The sequence below is a fragment of the Homo sapiens genome, chromosome 15 (assembly GCF_000001405.40).
Source record: "Homo sapiens chromosome 15, GRCh38.p14 Primary Assembly".
NCBI classification, from domain to species: domain Eukaryota; kingdom Metazoa; phylum Chordata; class Mammalia; order Primates; family Hominidae; genus Homo; species Homo sapiens.
Window position 1 is genome coordinate 41,059,389 of NC_000015.10, and position 19,553 is coordinate 41,078,941.

The 19,553-nt window shown below is 41.3% G+C and overlaps 1 protein-coding gene across 6 annotated transcripts in view; it reads right to left on the bottom strand.

Moving 5' to 3' along the window:
* INO80 (INO80 complex ATPase subunit) overlaps positions 1 to 19,553 on the bottom strand; it is a 137,401-nt gene that overhangs the window by 80,509 nt on the left and 37,339 nt on the right. For 5 of the 6 annotated variants that reach the window (NR_104038.2, XR_001751322.3, NM_017553.3 and 2 more), the window contains exons 10-15: positions 14,982 to 15,177; positions 14,040 to 14,107; positions 12,461 to 12,670; positions 11,079 to 11,159; positions 10,182 to 10,277; positions 479 to 538 (exon numbers count right to left, since the gene is read on the bottom strand). Coding sequence is in view for 4 of the 6 variants with exons in the window: in NM_017553.3 (NP_060023.1) it covers positions 479 to 538; positions 10,182 to 10,277; positions 11,079 to 11,159; positions 12,461 to 12,670; positions 14,040 to 14,107; positions 14,982 to 15,177 (711 nt within the window). In the remaining 2 variants the exon portion in view is untranslated. Of the gene's footprint in view, positions 1 to 478; positions 539 to 10,181; positions 10,278 to 11,078; positions 11,160 to 12,460; positions 12,671 to 14,039; positions 14,108 to 14,981; positions 15,178 to 19,553 lie in introns of those variants that run through there. The other variant, XM_011521686.4, reaches the window with a different exon arrangement.

The window sequence follows — 19,553 nt, forward strand, 5'->3', positions numbered from 1 at the left end:
CCGAGGCAGGAGGATCACTTAAGCCCAGGAGTTTGAGACCACCCTGGGCAACAGGTTGAAACCACATCTCTATAAAAAATACAAAAATTAGCCGGGCATGGTGTAGCGAGCCTATAGTCCCAAAAATTAGCTGGGTGTGCTGTCTCCTGCTTGTAGTTTGGGTGGCTGAGGTGGGAGGATTGCTTGAGCCAGGAGGTCAAGGCTACAGTGAAATGTGATCATGCCACTGCACTCCAGCCTGGGCAACAGAGCAAGACCTTGTCTCAAAAAAAAAGATTCTTAATTAATCCTGGAAATCAAGTCCAGCTGATTGCCTACAACAGGAAAAGTATTGTATCAGAAAAATGGAAACTTGATCAGTGTCCAGAAATATATAATAGATAAGAAGATTTTTGTCTAAAAGAAATTATCCACATCAATTAGAGAAATAATGACTGCATGTACGGTACGTATGTATGCAGTTTAAGTAGAATGTTACCTGACTCCAGAACCTTCTGATGACTTTTCTATCATGAGGATTTCCCCAATATGGTAGCACCTAGAAAAAGGGCCAATATATACATTACTTTCTATAGATGATCTTAAAAGTATTAGAACAAATATATAATTCGGAACAATTTAAAAAGAAACTAATAAAATGAGCATAGGAATTCCTCTCCTGCCAATGGTGGAATAAATGGTTTAACCAACCCTGTTGTCCAAATAGAAAGACACACACACAATTCATTTGTCTGAAGGCATAAAACAGCTACTGAGACAGTGGGCAATTACAGAGGCCCAAATCAGAAAACAACGGAAGCCCAGAGAGGTAAGCCTAGTATGTGGTATACTTTATCACTGATGGTATCATGGCATTACAAAAGTTCTAGTTGAGAGGGTAAGAAACTGAGGACACTTTTTCTTAAGAGATGTAAGATAGGCTGGGCATGGTAGCTCACGCCTGTAATCCCAGCACTTTGGGAGGTCGAGGCAGGCGGATCACCTGAGGTCAGGAGTTGGAGACCAGCCTGGCCAACATGGTGAAACGTCTCTACTGAAAATACAAAAATTAGCCGGGTGTGGTGGCACGCGCCTGTAATCCCAGCTACTAGGGAGGCAGAGGTTGCAGTGAGCAGAGATGGCGCCACTGCACTCCAGCCTGGGGGACAAGAGCAAGACTTTGTCTCAGGAAAAAAAAAAAACAAAAAGATGTAAGACATAGAGAACAAAAATTGTAGTTCAAGGAAAAAGACTCTTGTAACCAGCCACATCCCTGGCTTTAAGTTGGAAGTCAAAGGCTACAAGGTAGTAGTAACAGTAAATCATACATAGACTTGCCTAGACTTCCCTGAATAGGTACCGACTCCCCGCCTCAAGACATCTGAATTCCAGATTAAAAAGGCTTTGAATAATTTGCATCCCCACCAACCCCCAAATAATTACTAGTGGCAAAAAAACACATAAATCCTCTCTAGAAGAAAACAGTTGTGAGAGCCCACACTTATCTCTATAGCTTTTCCTATACAATGTCTGGCATAGCATTAAAAAATAACCAGACATATAGAAAGACCGTATCACATGAATGAAAGCCTACATGAAAGAAAGATAACGTACACAGAGGAGATTAAAATAATAAAAATATTAAAAACAGACTTTTGGCCAGGAGTAGTGGCTCATGCCTGTAATCCCAGCATTTTGGGAGACTGAGGCTGGCAGATCACCTGAGCATGGGAGTTTCAGACCAGCCTGGGCAACATGGTGAAACTCTCTCTCTACAAAAAATACAAAAGTTAGCTAGGTGTGGTGACACGCGCCTGCAGTCCCAGGAACTCACGAGTCTAAGGCAGAATTGCTTGAGCCTGGGAGAGGTTGCAGTGAGCCAAGATTGTGCCACTGCACTCCAGCCTGGGCAACAGAGCAAGACTTTGTTTCAAAAAAATAAATAAATAAAAGTTTAGGCCGGGCACAGTGGCTCACACCTGGAATCCTAGCACTTTGCAAGGCCAAAGCAGGTGGATCACGAGCTCAGGAGATAGAGACCACCCTGGCCAACATGGTGAAACACCGTCTCTACCAAAAATACAAAAAAAAAAAAAAAAAAAAAAATTAGCCAGGAGTGGTGGCACACACCTGTAGTCGCAACTATTCGGGAGGCTGAGGCAGGAAAATCGCTTGAACCCAGGAAGCAGAAGTTGCAGTGAGCCGAGATCGTGCCACTGCACTCCAGCCTGGGCGACAGAGTGAGACTGTGTTTCAAAAAAATAAATAAAATAAAAAAATTTAAAAATAAAAATGAAAAATACTTTAAAAAATGCTAATTTGTTAATGAAAAACAAGATAGAGAATTTCAATGGTATGCTATAAATTATAAAAGAATCAAAGCGAATTTTTAGAACTGAAAAATATAGTAACTAAAATCAAGAAATTAATGAATGGATCTAATGACAGATTAGATGCAGCTAAAGAGAAAATTAGTGAACTAGATGACAAGTCAGAAGAAAATATCCAGATTAAAGCACAAAGAAACAACAGAATGCAAGATTCAGCACTTTTTCTGTGATGTTTTCTAGATGTGGTTTTCTTTCTCCTTATCCCTGCACCTCACAGGGCTTCTTGAATCTACAGACCGCTATCTTTTGTTGTTCTGAAAAATTTCAGCCAAATGGAAGCAGAAATATGCAGGAAGAAATGAAGATTAATAAAAATTGAATATACAATATGAAAAAATCTAAACATAAAATATATAAGCAATAATAAAATGTCTCATGGGGTTTAAAATATAAAAAGTATACAAAACCTACAGCATATAAGTCGAGACAAAAGGGATGTAGTCCAAGTATACCGAAGTCTTTATATTATCCAGAAAGTAGTAACTCTTAATTTATATTATTATTATTTTTTAAGTCAAGAAGGCAAGTTTTTCCCCCAGATTATCTACTAGAGAATAAAATAGGCCAAGTATGGTGGCTCATGCCTGTAATCTCAGCACTCTGGGAGGCTGAGGCGGATGGATCACCTGAGGCCAGGAGTTCAAGACCAGCCTGGCCAACATGGCAAAACCCTGTCTCTACTAAAAATACAAAAATTAGCTGGGCGCAGAGGTTGCAGTGAGTGGAGATCACACCACTGCACTGAAGCGTGGGTGACAGAGTGAGACTCTGTCTCCAAAAAAAACCAAAAAGAATAAAATAAATACATGACTAGTGCTATGGTTTGAACATCTCTCTCGAGGTTTATGTGCTGGAAACTTAATCTCCAATGCAACAGTACTGAGAGGTGGGAGCTTTCAGGGGTGAGAAGGTCATGGGGGCTTTGCCCTCATGAATGAATTAATGCCATTATCACAGGAGTCCCCCTCACCCTGGGCTCTTCTGCTCCTCTGCCTTCCAATCTGGAGTGATGCAACAAGAAGGCCCTTGTGAGATGAGGACGCCTCACTTTTTGACTTCTCAGGCCCTCTGGAACTATAACAAATAAATCTCTTTTCTTTATAAATTACTCAGTTTTCTGTGTTTTGTTATAGCAGCACAAAACAAACTAAGACAAATAATAAGCTAAGAGAGGGAGGGAGAGCAGTAACATTTAATCAGTCCAAAAGGACATAAGAAAGGAGAGAACCAAAACACTGGGACACATTTCTCAGGATCTCCTGAGCGCTGTCATGGGCCAAAAAATGTTTTTAAAATAGGGTGGGCGCAGTGGCTCATGCCTGTAATCCCAGCACTTTGGGAAGCTAAGGTGGGCAGATTACCTGAGGTCAGGAGTCCAAGACCAGCCTGGCCAACATGGTGAAACCCCATCTCTAGTAAAAATACCAAAATTAGTTGGGTGTGGTGGTAGGTGCCTGTTATTCTAGCTACTCAGGATGTTGAGGCAGGAGAATTGCTTGAACCTGGGAGGCAGAGGTTGCAGTAAGCTGAGATCACATCACTGCACTCCAGCCTGGGCCACAGAGCCAGACTCCGTCTCAAAAAAAATTTTAATGTAAAAATAAGGAAAAGAGAAAAATTAAACAGGTGCCACAAGTAGAAAAACAATTAGGAAGGAAGACTTAAAACTCAATATATCAGCATTTACATTAAAAGCACAAATATTCCCAACAAGAGGCAAGAAATACACCTTAAGGTCGGGCACGGTGGCTCACACCTATAATCCCAGCACTTTGGGAAGCTGAGGCAGGCGGATCACTTGAGGTCAGGAGTTAGAGACCAGCCTGGCTAACATGGTGAAACCCCGTCTGTACTAAAAATACAAAAATTAGCCGGGCGTGGTGGCATGCGCCTGTAATCCCAGCTACTAGGAAGGCTGAGACAGAATTGCTTGAACCCTGGAGACGGAGGTTGCAGTGAGCTGAGATTGCGCCACTGCACTCCAGCCTGGCGACAGATAGACTCCGTCTCAAAAAGAGAAATGCACCATAAATGATGTAAAATGATTACAAATAAAAGGAAGAAAAAAAGCCATGTAAAAATTAAGCAAAGACGCCCTCACATTCTGTATTCAGAAAAAAATTAAAGAAAAACAATATATATCAGAAAATACAGACTTTTAGTCAAAAAGTCTTTAAAAGGAAAATTTCATAATAATAAAAGGTTCAGTTCACCAGGAAGAGTATAAATCTTACAGCCTCAAAATATATAAAGCAAAAATGGACAGAAGAGAAATGGACAAATCCATAATCATGGTATGTTTTAATATACCACTCTCAGTCAGTGACAGAATAGGCAGACGAATCAGTAAAGACATGAAAGAGCTGAACAACTTAACAAACTTTGACCTAAATCAACATATATGCAACACTGCAATGAATAAGGGCAGAATACCTATAATTTTCCAATACACAAAGGACATATAAACACTGACAATATGCTGAGACATAAAAATGAGGGTTCAACAAATTTCAAAGTATTAAAGTCATAAAAAGTTTCTTTTACCAATGTGAATTTAAGGTATCAATTAATAACAAACAAGACATCTAGACAATCCTCCACTGTTTGAAAATTATGAATTACACTTTTTATTTTTTAAAAGAGATAGGGTCTCGCCCTGTTGCCTAGGCTGGAGTACAGTGGTGTGATCATAGCTCACTGTAGCCTTGAACTCCAGGGCTCAAGTGATCATCCCACCTAGAAATACACTTTTAAATAAACCATAGATCAAAAATGAACTTGCAATGGAAGTTAGAGATTATGATGAAGTGAAAGACAATGTATATATGACACATCAAACCTTTGGATGGCTAAAGTCATGCTCAGAAAGCAATGAGTATCCTTAAATGTACATCTATTAGAAGCTGAAAATCAATACTCTAAGCTCCATCTCAAGACATCAGATAAAGAAAAAAGCTGGCTGGGCATGGTGGCTAACGTCTGTAATCCAAGCAGTTTGAGAAGCCAAGGTAGAAGGATCGCTTGAGCTCAGGAATTTGAGACCAGCCTGGCCAACGTGGGGAAACTCAGCCTCTACTAAGAATAAAGAAATTCACTGGGCATGGTGGCAGGCTCCTGTAGTCCCAGTTACACGGGAGCTTGAGGCAGAAGAACTGCTTGAACCCGGAGGAGGCAGAGGTTGCAGTGAGCCAAGATCATGTCACTGCACTCCAGCCTGGGAAACAGAGCGAGACACTGTCTCAAAAAAAAGGTAGAAAAAGAGTGCAGTGTGGGGCTGTGTTCCAATACGTATGACTTTCAACTTTGTATGTCACATTCTATGAAAGTTTATTTTTTTATCAATAATTTTAAAAAGTAAAAACTATTCTTAGTTTACAGCCATTCAAAAACAGGTAGCAGGCCAGGCTCGGTGATTCACGCCTGTAATCCTAGCACCTTGGGAGGCAGAGGAGGGCAGATCACCTGAGGTCAGGAGTTCAAGACCAGCCTGGCTAACATGGTGAAACTCCGTCTCTACCAAAAATACAAAAATTAGCTGGGTGTGGTGGTACACCCCTGTAGTCCCAGCTACTCGGGAGGCTGAGGCAAAATTGCTTGAACCTGGGAGGCGGAGGTTGCAGCGAGCCAAGATCACGCCACTGCACTCCAGCCTGGGCGACAGAGCAAGACTCTGTGTCATAAAACAAAAAACAAAAAACAAAAAAAACAGGTGGAAGATTCCTTAATAAGTAGAATTACCATATGACCTAGCAATTCTACTCATAGGTACATACCCAAAAGAAGTGAAAACAGTAAAAGTGTTCAAACAAAAACTTGCACAGGAATGTTCATAGCAGTACTACTCACAACAGCCAAAAGGTGGAAACAACCCAAATATTCATCAACAGATGAATGGATGAACAAAATGTGATATATATATACACAATGGAATATTACTCAGCCATATAAAGGAATAAAGCACTGACACATGCTATAATATGGATGAAGCTTGAAAACTTTATACTCAGTAAAAGAAGCCAGACAGAAACAGCATTCACAAAGTGTTCAGAATAAGCAAATCCAGCCACAGCAGTCAAATTTGTGGTTGCCAGAGGCTACAGCACAAGGTGAATAGAACGTGATTGCTTAGTGGGTAAAGGCCTTCTGTTTGGGCTGATGAAAAAGTTATGAAACTAGACAGCAGTGATGGTTACACAAGATTGTGAATGCACCTAATGCTACTACATTGTACTTTTTTTTTTTTTTTTTTTTTGAGACAGAGTTGTGCTCTTGTTGCCCAGGCACAATCTCGGCTCACCACAACCTCTGCCTCCTGGGTTCAAGCGATTCTCCTGCCTCAGCCTCCCGAGTAGCTGGGATTACAGGCATGTGCCACCATGCCCAGCTAATTTTGTATTTTTAGTAGAGATGGGGTTTCTCCACATTGGTTAGGCTGGTTTAGAACTCCCGACCTCAGGTGACCCCCCTGCCTCAGCCTTCCGAAGTGCTGGGATTACAGGCGTGAGCCACCGCACCCGGCCCATTTTTTTATAAGCTTGGTCTGCAGGCATGCACTACCATATCCAACTAACTTTTAAATTTTTTGTAGAGACAAGGTCTACGTTGGCAAGGCTGTTCTTGAACTTCTGGACTCAAGTGATCTTCCCACCTTGGCCTCCCAAAGTACTGGGATTACAGGCATGACCCACCAGGCCCAGCCCATTTTTAAATAGTTAAAATGGTAAATACTATGTTCTATGTATTTTGTCACAATAAAAAATATATTGGGGCACTAGGAAAAAAAAAATCAAGCCAACTGCAGTGGCTCGTGCCTATAATCCCAGCACTTTAAGAGGCCAAGGTGGGATGATTGTGTGAGGCCAGGAGTTAGAGACCAGCCTTGGCAACATAGCAAGACGGCACCATAAAATTAAAAAAAAAAAATTAGCAGGGTGTGGCGCTGCATGCCGGTAGTCCTAGCTACTTGGGAGGCTGATGTGGGAGAATGGCTTGAGGTGGAGTTCAGGGCTGCGGTGAGCTATGATCACGTCTCAGCACTCCACCTTGGGAGACAGAAGGAGAAAATGTCTCTAAGAAAAAAAAAAAAAGCAAAAAAAAAAAAAAAAATCAAAAGAGGTGGCAACACCCACAGGGTATATAATCCTAAATTAGGATATCGAAAGAAAGTTCAACATGCAAATGATAGCTCTGTTTCAGGCATACTTATAAAGTCAAAGGAAAGGCATCAATGACATTAGTAATATCACATTGCCATCTATCAGCAGTGGAAGAGCTACTGAAAACTTAAGTGGTTTGGTGAAAAAATTTTAAGACCTTTTATTTTTCTTTTTTCTTTTTGAGACGGATTCTCACTCTGTCGCCCAGGCTGGAGTGCAGTGGCATGATCTCGGCTCACTGCAAACTCTGCCCCCCGGGTTCAAGCAATTTTCCTGCCTCAGCCTCCCGAGTAGCTGGGATTACAGGCGCCCGCCATAACACCTGGCTGATTTTTGTATTTTTAGTAGAGACAGGGTTTCACCATCTTGGCCAGGCTGGTCTTAAACTCCTGACCTTGTGATCCACCCGCCTCACCTCCTAAAGTGCTGAGATTACAGGCATGAGCCACCATGCCCGGCCAAGATCTTTTATTTTTCAAGATCTGCATTGTTCAATATATACTGAACATCATATGAAAAAAAAAGCAGAAAAAGATGGTGATCACCATTCCACAAGACAAACAATTTAAGAGAAAATAGTCAACAAACTGCATTAGAATGATCTCATCATCATCTCAGCAAGATGAAAATGAGTCAGTCAAATTAAAAGCTATATATCCTAACACTCCTTATACAGTTTCTACATCTACAATTTAGCCACAAAATGGGACCACAGCCATAAAGCTGCCTCAAAGTGGGAAATCCCAGACAATTTCCTATTCCATACAAAGCATAAGCCAGAAAAATACCTGCCTCACATTTCTACCCTATCCCAAGCTCCAACTACAGGAAACCCATCACTATTACAGAGACCCAAAATCACAGAGATCATGTCAACATATTTTGATATATAATCTCCAAAATACTATCTTAACTGTGCAACTTCATTATCATATTCCTTTAGGGACAGAACACATATTTAACTCATTTTCAATTCTTTTAAATTGCAAACAATAAATCCTATTCATTCTTTCTTAAATTCCTCCAACTTTTCATAACTAAGCAGCTGTTTAAATCTAATCAATGTCTTGCCCAATGGATGCCAAATACTTCCCTGATCACCCCCTACTTCAACCTGAATTCTTTTCCTCTGAATTAATTAAATCGATGTTCACATTATCTACCTTAGACATTATAAGCTGGACTAAGACTAGAGATCAGACTTTAGAGTATTAAGAAAATGAACTGGCTGGGTTTGGTGGCTCGTGCCTGTAATCCCAGGACTCTGGGAGGCTGACGCAGAAGGATGACTAGAGGCCAGGAGTTCAAGACCAGCCTGGGCAACATAGTGAGACCTGCCTCTACTAAAAAAGCAAAATGGGCTGGATGGAGTGGCTCACACCTGTAATCTCAGCACTTCAGGAGGCTGACATGGGTGGATCACCTGAGGTCGGGAGTTCGAGACCAGCCTGACCAACATCGTCAGTAGAGAAACCCCGTCTCTACTAAAAATACAAAATTAGCCGGGCATGGTGGCACATGCCTGTAATCCCAGCTACTCGGGAGGCTGAGGCAGAAGAATCACTTCAACCCTGGAGGCAAAGGTTGCGGTGAGCAGAGTTTGCACCATTACACTCTAGCCTGGGTAACAAGAGTGAAACTCTGATTAAAAAAAAAAACAACAGCTGTGTGCGGTGGCTCATGCCTGTAATCCTTGCGTTTTCGGAGGCCCAGGCATGTGGATCACCTGAGGTCAAGAGTTTGAGACCAGCCTGGACAACATGGTGAAACCCTCTCTCTATTAAAAATACAAAACAATTAGCTGGGCATGGTGGCAGACACCTGTAATCCCAGTTACTCAGGAGGCTGAGGCAGGAGGATTGCTTGAACCTGGGAGATGGAGGTTGCAGTGAGCCGAGATTGTGCCACTGCACTCTAGCCTCGGCGACAGAGTGAGACTCCATCTCAAAACAAAAACAAAAACAAGACATGTATTAAAAAAAAGAAATGAATTATTTACAATAGATTTAAATGAAAAGAGAAATGCCGTAAATGATAGGATGTGTACTGATGGTATGATTTGTCAAAAATCTATGTTAAACCAAATAAGGTAGATGTTTTCTACCGTGGCAGTTTGACCACGAGTATCCATTTATCAGGCTAAATGCAATATGCACTCATTGTTCCCAGCAGTAAGTTTTATAGTGATTATATGCAAGTTATTTTGGAACAATGTATATTTTTGTTTTTGTGACGGAAGGAGTCTTGCTCTGTCGCCCTGGATGGAGTGCAGCGGCACATTCTCGGCTTGCTACAACCTCCCTTCACTGCAACCTCCCCTCGCCCCCTCACCCCCCTGGCCCTGCCCCGTTCAAGCGATTCTCCTGCCTCAGCCTCCTGAGCAGCTGGGACTACAGACACATGGCACCATGCCCGGCTAATTTTTTTTTTGTATTTTTAGTAGAGACGGGGTTTCACCATGTTAGCCAGGATGATCTCGACTTCCTGACCTCGTGATCCACCCACCTCAACCTCCCAAAGTGCTGAGATTACAAGTGTGAGCCCCCAAGTCCGGCCAAAATTTAAAACTGTTATGAGTAATTAGTAGGGCAAGAAAAGGAGAGTCAAAAAGTTTATTTTAAAGAGCAATAGATGTTTTGGTTGGACTGATATTTACCTTAAATTTAGGAACAAATCTAGTAAACTCCTGGTGCCAATTGTTAAGTGTAGACGCAGGTGAAATTATTAAGAAAGGTCCCCAAATGTTCTCTCTCTGCAACAGAAAAACCCAGTCAGCCAACTACAGGAAAAGGGAAGGTATTTAATTCAAAATTATAATTAATGACAAGAACAATCTAAGAATAGGAAACAAATAACAAGAGAAACAGTGAGTAAATCCCAAATCTGCACATTCAATAGTAATATCCTATGTTAATAATAAGAACATAAAGACACACCTGAGAAAAAAATGGCAAGCAACTATTCCCTCTTCTGACCTCTTATAGGTCTTATCCACAAAGCATTCATGACACACTGACTTGTATGTATTGTTTTCTACTATACTAGTTATCCGACAATCTTGTAGTTATTTAATAGGTATAGAGCTTTTGCTTTTTTTTCAGTTTTACGCATTTTTAAAATTTAATTCTTATAAAATTCCTATAAAGTAGATAACGTCTCCATAGAAGAGGAAGAGGAAGAGGAAACTAAGCCTCAGAGAGTTAAGTTGAAAAAGAGGCTAAATTGCCCAAGTTTACACTGGTAATAAGAGTAGAGCTGAAATGTTAGGCAAGGTGTTCTGATCTAACTATATGGCCCTTGCCACTACACTGGTGGTAATTAATGCAGAGCGGAAAGGAGTGTCTCAAAATCACATGCTCAAAAATTGTCCTAGCCCTCTTAAAAACCAAAAAGTTATAAAACACTGTCCCCTTATAAAGCTCTGAGGCAAGAACCCAGTCCCACTATCTTGGAATGCTACACAGCTTAACATAGTGCTTTTAAGTGGCTGATTTTCAACAGAAATTACCCTAAATTCTAGAGAAATGAAGATAGAAAGATTGCATCTACCCACCTCAGCCAGATGGGCCAGAAGGGCAATGCTCTGTACTGTTTTACCAAGGCCCATTTCATCAGCAAGAATGCCATTAATACCCTGGGGAAAAAAAATACATGGTCAACACCTCATGCATTTCATCAAATAAAGTTCAACCTGTTACCAAAAAGAACGACCAAGATAACAGGCTTGTTTAAAGAGAAGTGACCAGAGATACTCAGCCTCAGCACTTTTACCCACTGCTATAGTAATTGCTTTTGCCAATGCTACAGCTACAACTATGAACCATGATACATGAGACAGGGCAAGGCCAATCTGTTAGCTAATACAACCCAGACACAAAAGCAATTAGATTTACCAAGTCCATATAAGACAAACCATAAGAAATACACAAATATTCTCCAGTAGGATCTCCAGGTTACAAAAAAACAAAAAGACATCAGCTGGGTGCAGTGGCTCATGCCCGTCCCGGCACTTTGGGAGGCCGAGGCAGGCATATCGCATGAGCCCAGGAGTTTGAGACCAGTCTGGGCAACATGGAGACAGCCCGTTTCTACAAAAAATACAAAAATTAGTCAGGCGTGGTGGCATGTGTCTGCAGTCCCAGCTATTCTGGGGGCTGAGGCAGGAGGGTCACTTGAGCCCAGGAGTTTAAGGCTACAGTGAGCCATAAACGCACCACTCCACTTCAGCCTGGGTGACAGAGTAAGATCCTGTCTCAAAAAGAAAGAGAAACAGAGACATCCTTCTGCCTCTTGTCAAAGGATATAGCTTTTTATTTTTTAATAAATCTACATTAATTTATTTTTAATTATACTTTAAGTTCTAGGGTACATGTGCACAACGTGCAGGTTTGTTACATATGTATACATGTGCCATGTTGGTGTGCTGCACCCATTAACTCGTCATTTACATTAGGTATTTCTCCTACTGCTATCCCTCCCCAGGATACAGCTTTTTAAAAGGGTGAAATCTAAAACATGATCTTGTACTCATTTCCTTTTTTTTTTTTTTTTTTTTTTTGAGATAGAGTTTTGCTCTTGTTGCCCAGGCTACAGTGCAATGGCGCCATCTTAGCTCACCGCAATCTCCGCCTCCCAGATTCAAATGATTCTCCTGCCTCAGCCTCCCAAGTAGCTGGGATCACAGGCATGCACCACCATGCCAGGCTAATTTTGTATTTTTTTTTTTTAGTAGAGATGGGGTTTCACCATGTTGGTCAGGCTGGTCTCGAACTCCCAACCTCAGGTGATCCGCCTGCCTTGGCCTCCCAAAGTGCTGGAATTGCAGGCATGAGCCACCGCGCTCAGCCAGATCTTGTACTCATTTCACAATCACATTGAACAAATGACTTTAGGAAAAGAGATAATAGAAGAGAATGACACGGTTCTAAAATTCACCTGTTCATATAGATTGGCCAACCAATTCATGCCTTTCAGTTGATAACCTTTCAATTTGCCATTAAAAATTGTGGGCTGTGGAATATCCTCACCAGCCCGGATAGATGGGTTAGCCAGGCTATAACTCTCCCCAAACCCAGTGCCAGACTTGTTTGCTGCCCGTAGGGCAGCTGCTCGACTTTCTTTTGCATCTTCATCAAATGACCTTGTCTGGAAAGTAAAAAAAAAAAAAATTAGAAAAAAAAAAAAGAGGAAAAATATTACATGAAAATAAGACTCAAGATAACAATATATCTACCCTGTGCTAAGAAAAATAATTGGAACAAAATTTCTCATAATCTGATAATATAACGTAGTATCATATGACATCATTTCTATAAAACATATTACTAATATTATTTAATGTAACAATTATATTAGAAATTGGGGAAGGTCACATTCGTCTATCTTTGACTTACACTCTGTCAATGTTAAATAGGGGCTCCTATGCAGTATATTAAAAACAGCAAATTTTTTACTTAATTCAACCTGATTGTAGTTTCTTTCTGATTTTGTTAAACATCACTATATCATACATAACAAAGAGCTTGGGCCAGGCGCAGTGGCTCACGCCTGTAATCCCAGCACTTTGGGAGGCCAAGGCGGGCGGATCACGAGGTCAGGAGATCGAGACCATCCTGGCCAACATGGTGAAACCCCGTCTCTACTAAAATAAAAAAAATTAGCTGGGTGTGGTGGTGCGCACCTGTAGTCCCAGCTACTCAGGAGGGTGACAAAGCAAGACTCCCGCCTCAAAAAAAAAAAAAAAAAAAGAATAAATAAATAAATAAATAACAAAGAGCAAGTTATTACTTAAGTGAAAGAAGGCATTAAATAACGTAGCAGTTTTTTGAAACCATGATATGGCTCTCTTAACAAGCCAAGAGTGTGGTCTTTTTCTTTTTTTTTTTGAGATGCAGTCTCAATCTGTCGCCCAGGCTGGAGTGCAGTGGCACAATCTCGGCTCACAGCAAGCTCCGCCTACCGGGTTCACGTCATTCTCCTGCCTCAGCCTCCCGAGTAGCTGGGACTACAAGCGCCCTCCGCCACCCCCGGCTAATTTTTTGTATTTTAGTAGAGATGGGGTTTCACCGTGTTAGCCTGGATGGTCTCGATCTCCTGACCTCGTGATCCACCCACCTCAGCCTCCCAAAGTGCTAGGATTACAGGAGTGAGCCACCACGCCCGGTGAGTATGGTCTTTTTCATTAAACATCTATGATACATTTCATACTGTATTGCCCATGATTACTCAAGAGAAAGAAAAAAAAATACAAACTGTTCTAACTTGAAATTAACACATTGCTAAAGCTAGAAAACTGAATATTCGTTTTTCTGCCTTTCTTCTAGTATCCCTACTAATCTAAAGTGAAAGAGACCCAGCTCCACCCCCTACACACAGCTACTCACACACATATACACAAGCTAGTCTATGCTTTTAATTGCAAATGTGATTAAGACTAAAGGAAGACCACCTAAGTAAAGGCTTGTGGGGTATTTCCAGGGCCAATTACAGTAAACCTTTCTATCTGAAGACTCACCCGAGCTTGGTGAATATGGTAAGCATTTTCAGCATTCTTCAGGGCCTGGGCTTTAAAATGGTTACTATCTGAAAAGCAAAATTTATGGATTATCACACTTTATCAACTGATTTTGTTCTAAGATACAATTAACACCAATGTATGTGGATCCCTGATTCCCTCATTCTACTTATCCCTGGGTTCACGGAGGGTGGGGGAAGAGAAAGGCTAAATTCTCAGAGGTAAGAAGCTGGAAATGCAATGGAGGTGGAGGACTGCCATGGTCTCCAGTAGCCAAAGCAAGCTCACAAAAAACATCACGGCACTGCCTCTCAGTACTGGGGTTTCTTCTACCAAATAATACCAAGCTACAACAATCAAGACAATCAGGATTCAAAATTTTAATATATTTATGATAGGTGAAACTATTTTAACAGGAGAAATACAGACATATTTAAACCCCAAGATACTATAAAGCAGTTACAATCTCTACTATTTCTAGCTCAACACAATCTTAATCAGCATTCTCCATGAAATTCCTCTCAAACTTCATCCCAATTCCTCCCTCTCCTTGTGATCACATAAAGACAACTGAACAGCTGCTTTCTTGTGCTTAAATAAACAAGAATCGTATTATGTGAGAGATGTTTTCCTCTGCTGAAACACAGTTCAGTTCTACTGAACTGTGATTACAATACCTGTTATTTCTACTAACAAATCACAACAAAAATATTCCCAAACTTGCAAGATCATATAACCACAACGCTTCCTATTCAAATTCTTTAATAAATGGTCTTATACTTCTGTTATAGAAACACACTTTCCCTACTCCAGTACAATAAATCTCTCTTTTCTGGTAAATTACCTATGAATCAATAAAAAATTCGCAAAAATTAATGTATATAACCTTTAGATATAAAAAATAAGAGGTAGCCTTCCTCTAAGTCCTGACTGAGGACTCACCATAATCCTCCTGTGTGATGTTAACTACCACTCCTCCACCTATATCGATTTGTCTCTGGGTAGAACTGTCTTCCAGTTTCCTTAGGATTTCTTCCTGGATACCATCATGACCCATATCTCGTTTGCGACTCATGAAATGGGCATACAACTCTGTCTGGGTAATTAAGAAGTTGAGTTTTCGCTGTTGCCTCTTGGCCTAAAGAGGGAAAAAAGTGAAAACAGAGCCAAATTATCAATGATATCCAAGAAGTAGTCCAGAATTCACCACTTATATTTGCATACAATTCCTTTACCAACTGTTTACTTTTAAAAATGTAAACATCACTGATAAACAATTTTAATTTAGCCAAGTCAGTGGCACTAAAAGCAATGAATAAATTTCTTTTCCTTTTTCAGACAGAGTCTCAGCTGGTCGCATGGGCTGGAGTATAGTGGCACGATCTCGGCTCACTGCGACCTCCGCCTCCCGGGTTCAAGCTAGTCTCGTACCTCAGCCTCCAGAGTAGCTGGGATTACAAGTGAGCACCACTAAACTCGGCTAATTTGTATATTACTAGTAAAGACAGGGTTTCACCATGTTGGCCAGGCTGGTCTCGAACTGAGGTGATCCACTGGCTTCAGCATCCCAAAGTGCTGGGATTACAGGCATGAGCCACCACACCTGGCACAATGAATAACTTTCATTCATAATCTGCTAGTAACAAGTGTTTTGCTCTCCTTTATACTGTGAATCTTTTCTCTATTAGGCTTCTGACTAAAATGTTTCTTTCTTACATTACTTTTCTATGGTGGCACAGAGACAACAACTAAATTCAAACAGTATATTCCATTTTATAACCTGGATGGTGGATACATGTCTATGTAGCTTTATTATTTTTGAAAATGTACACATGTCAGAAACTTTTCTTTTTTTTTTTTTTGAGACAAGTCTAACTGTGTGGGCCAGGCTGGAGTGCAATGGCACAATCTGAGCCTCACCGTAACCTCTGCCTCCCAGGTTCAAGTGATTCTCCTGCCTTGCTCTCCCAAGTAGCTGGGACTATAGGCGTCCACCACAATGCCTGGCTAATTTTTCTATTTTTTTTTGGCGGCGGGGGAGGCGGGGGGCAGAGTCTCCCTCTGTCGCCCAGGCTGGAGTGCAGTGGCGTGATCTTGGCTAACTGCAAGCACTGCCTCCTGGGTTCATGCCATTCTCCTGTCTCAGCCTCCTGAGTAGCTGGGACTACAGGCGCCTGCCAACATGCCCGGCTAATTTTTTGTATTTTTAGTAGAGACGCGGTTTCACTGCGTTAGCCAGGATGGTCTCAATCTCCCGACCTCATGATCTGCCCGTCTCAGCCTCCCAAAGTGCTGGGATTAAAGGTGTGAGCCACCATGCCCAGCCCGTATTGTTGTATTTTTTTAGTAGAGACGGGTTTCACCATATTGACCAGGCTGGTCTCGAACTCCTGACCTCATGTGATCGGCCCACATTCAGCCTCACAAAGTGCTGGGATTATAGGTGTGAGCCACTGCACCTGGCCAGCCACCACACCGGCCCTAAAACTCTTACCACCAAAAGTCAAAATAGCTGACAAAGAGCTATAAATTATTCTGAAAGCCAATACAATAGGTATATGAAATTAACAAGTTAATGGAAGAAAGAAAATACTCCCCAAAACAATCTACAGGAAGGAACAAAATACTCCCCAACACAATCTGTATTTTTTGGCCAGGCATGGTAGCTCATGCCTATAATCCCGGCACTTTGGGAGACCAAGGCTGGCAGATCACCTGAGGTCAGGAGTTCGAGATCAGCCTGGTCAACATGGAGAAACCTCGTCTCTGATAAAAATACAAAAATTAGCCAGGCATGGTGGCAGGCGCCTGTAATCCCAGCTACTTAGGAGGCTGAAGCAGGAGAATCGCTTGAACCCAGGAGGAAAGGTTGCAGTGAGCCGAGGTCACGCCACTGCACTTCAGACTGGGTAACAGAGCAAGACTCTGTCTCAAAACAAAACAAAACAAAACAAAACCCAACAACCTATATTTCATCTGTGATAATAATAGCTACAAAAAACGAATATAGACTGAATACACATACATGTGCAAACTTTCTTTTTTTTTTTTTTAATGTCAGAAGGCTAAATTAAAAGTGCCTTTCAGGTGGACTGCTTGATCTCAGGAGTTTGAGACCAGACTGGGCAACATGGCAAAACCTTGTTTCTACAAAAAATAAAAAAATTTGCCAGGCATGGTAGCATGTACCTGCAGTCCCAGCTACACTGGAGGCTGAGGCGGGAGGACTGCTTGAGCCCAAGAGATTGATGCTGCACTGAGCCAAGATTATGCCACTGCACTCCAGCCTGGGTGACAGAGTAAGATATCACTTTTTTTCTAAGTGCCTCTACTCTAAAATAACCTAAGAAAAATAATCATTGTGTCGATAAATAAAATCATTCCTAAGATAAACAATAAAATGAAAACATAATCCAAAATACCAAATTATATGGAACACAGAACACAGTATAAGTAGCATATTAAAGAGTCATTATTTTGTTTTCTTTTTCTTTTTTTGAGATGGAGTCTCGCTCTCTCACCCTGGCTGGAGTGCAGTGGTGCAATCTCGGCTCACTGCAACCTCCATCTCCCCGGTTCAAGCGATTCTGCTGTCTCAGCCTCCCGAGTAGCTAGGACTACAGGTGTATGCCACCACACCCAGCTAATTTTTTGTATTTTTAGTAAAGACGGGGTTTCACCGTGTTAGCCAGGATGGTCTCGATCTCCCGATCTCTTGATCCGCCCACCTCGGCCTCCCAAAGTGCTGGGATTACAAGCGTGAGCCACCGCGCCCAGCCTTGTTTGCTTTATTTTTTTTTTTTTCCAAAAAAGAGCATTATTGGTCCAAGAGTCATTATTTTGAATTATTTCATAACAAAATTCATAAAATATACTTGATTTATCCTTGATCCACTCTCCCAAAAGAAAAACAATACAATAGGGAATACAGCAAAAAAAAAAAAAAAAACCCAAAAGGCTGAAAGTATATTTTATAAAGCAGTAACCTACGTAAAACTATCCTGTCTCTTTAAAGCTTTATAGCACTTGAGCCAGATCCAAAATAGAAGAAAACTTGAGAAAGAGAGTGAGAGAAAATTAAGTTTTTGTCTTCATGAATGTTCATGTTTCAAACCTAAAGTGCTATCAAGAAAATCTTTGTTTTTTTCTGAAGAGATGGTATCTTACTCTGTCACCCAGGCTGGAGGCAGTAACAAGAACACAGCTCACTGCAGCCTCAACATCCCAGGCTCAAGCAATACTCCCACCTCAGCCTCCAAAGTAACTGGGACTATAGGCATGTGCCACTACACCTGTCTAATTTTTCTACTGTTTATAGATATGAAGTATCACTATGTTGCCCACACTGGTCTTGAACTCCTAGATTCCAGCGATCCTCCCGTCTCTGCCTTTCTGCTAGGATTATGGGCATGAGCCAATACACTCAGCCTAAGGAAAACTTTCTAAAGTAAAACAATTAAGAAAAAGAATAACATCTTTTTTTTTTTTTTTGAGATGGATTCTTCCTCTGTCACCCAGGCTGGAGTGTAGTGGCACGATCTCAGCTCACTGCAACCTCCACCTCCCGGGTTCAAGCAATTCTCTGCCTCAGCCTCCCAAGCAGCTGAGATTACAGGCGGCCGCCACCATGCCCGGCTAATTTTTGTATTTTTAGTAGAGACAGGGTTTCACCATGTTGGCCAAGCTGGTCTTGAACTCCTGACCTTGTGATCCACCCACCTCGGCCTCCCAAAGTGCTGAGATTACAGACGTGAGCCACCGCGCCCGGCCAAGAATAATATCTTTAACCCTAAAGAAGTTAACTACCATATGATTAAATGAACGAAGTAGATTAAGAAAACAGAAAGGATATGTCAAAATTTTATTTCAGAAGTTCAAAGAAAAATGCATAAGTCAGCATAACCATCAGTTAGCTATCAACATAACTAAGAATCTAGGTCTCAGAAATCTAGAATATAGGCCAAGTTGCCTGCAAAACTTCAAGATCTGTGGCTAACTCTGAAATGACTTTAAATTCTCTGAGTTAAGAATTCCCAAAAGCATCAAATGTTTACTAACTTGATAATTATGATTACCTTGCATGCAAATATACGAATTAACCAGGAGACTTAAGAGAACTGAGCAAAATCCATCTTCATTCTCGAAGTCATGATAAAATAAGGGAAGATCAAGAGCTCAGAAAAGGCTCCAAAGCTCCACTTTGACATGAGTTACTACATATACCTGAAAGAAAACATCATCCAAACCACTAATTCCCTTCTTTCTTCAAATCTCAACTCTCCTTCCATTCATCTCAGCTGGTTTATCAATGGCAATACAATGATTTGCCTTCTTACTCTCTCCTCTTGCTTCCCTCAGCAATATACACAGCCTACATCAGCTGGCATCAGGTTTACCAACAGTACTGGCTGCAAGTTAAAACAGTAAAGTAGGCTGGGCATGGTGGCTCACGCCTGTAATCTCAGCACTTTGGGAGGCCGAGGCAGGCGTATCATCTGAGCTCAGGAATTCAAA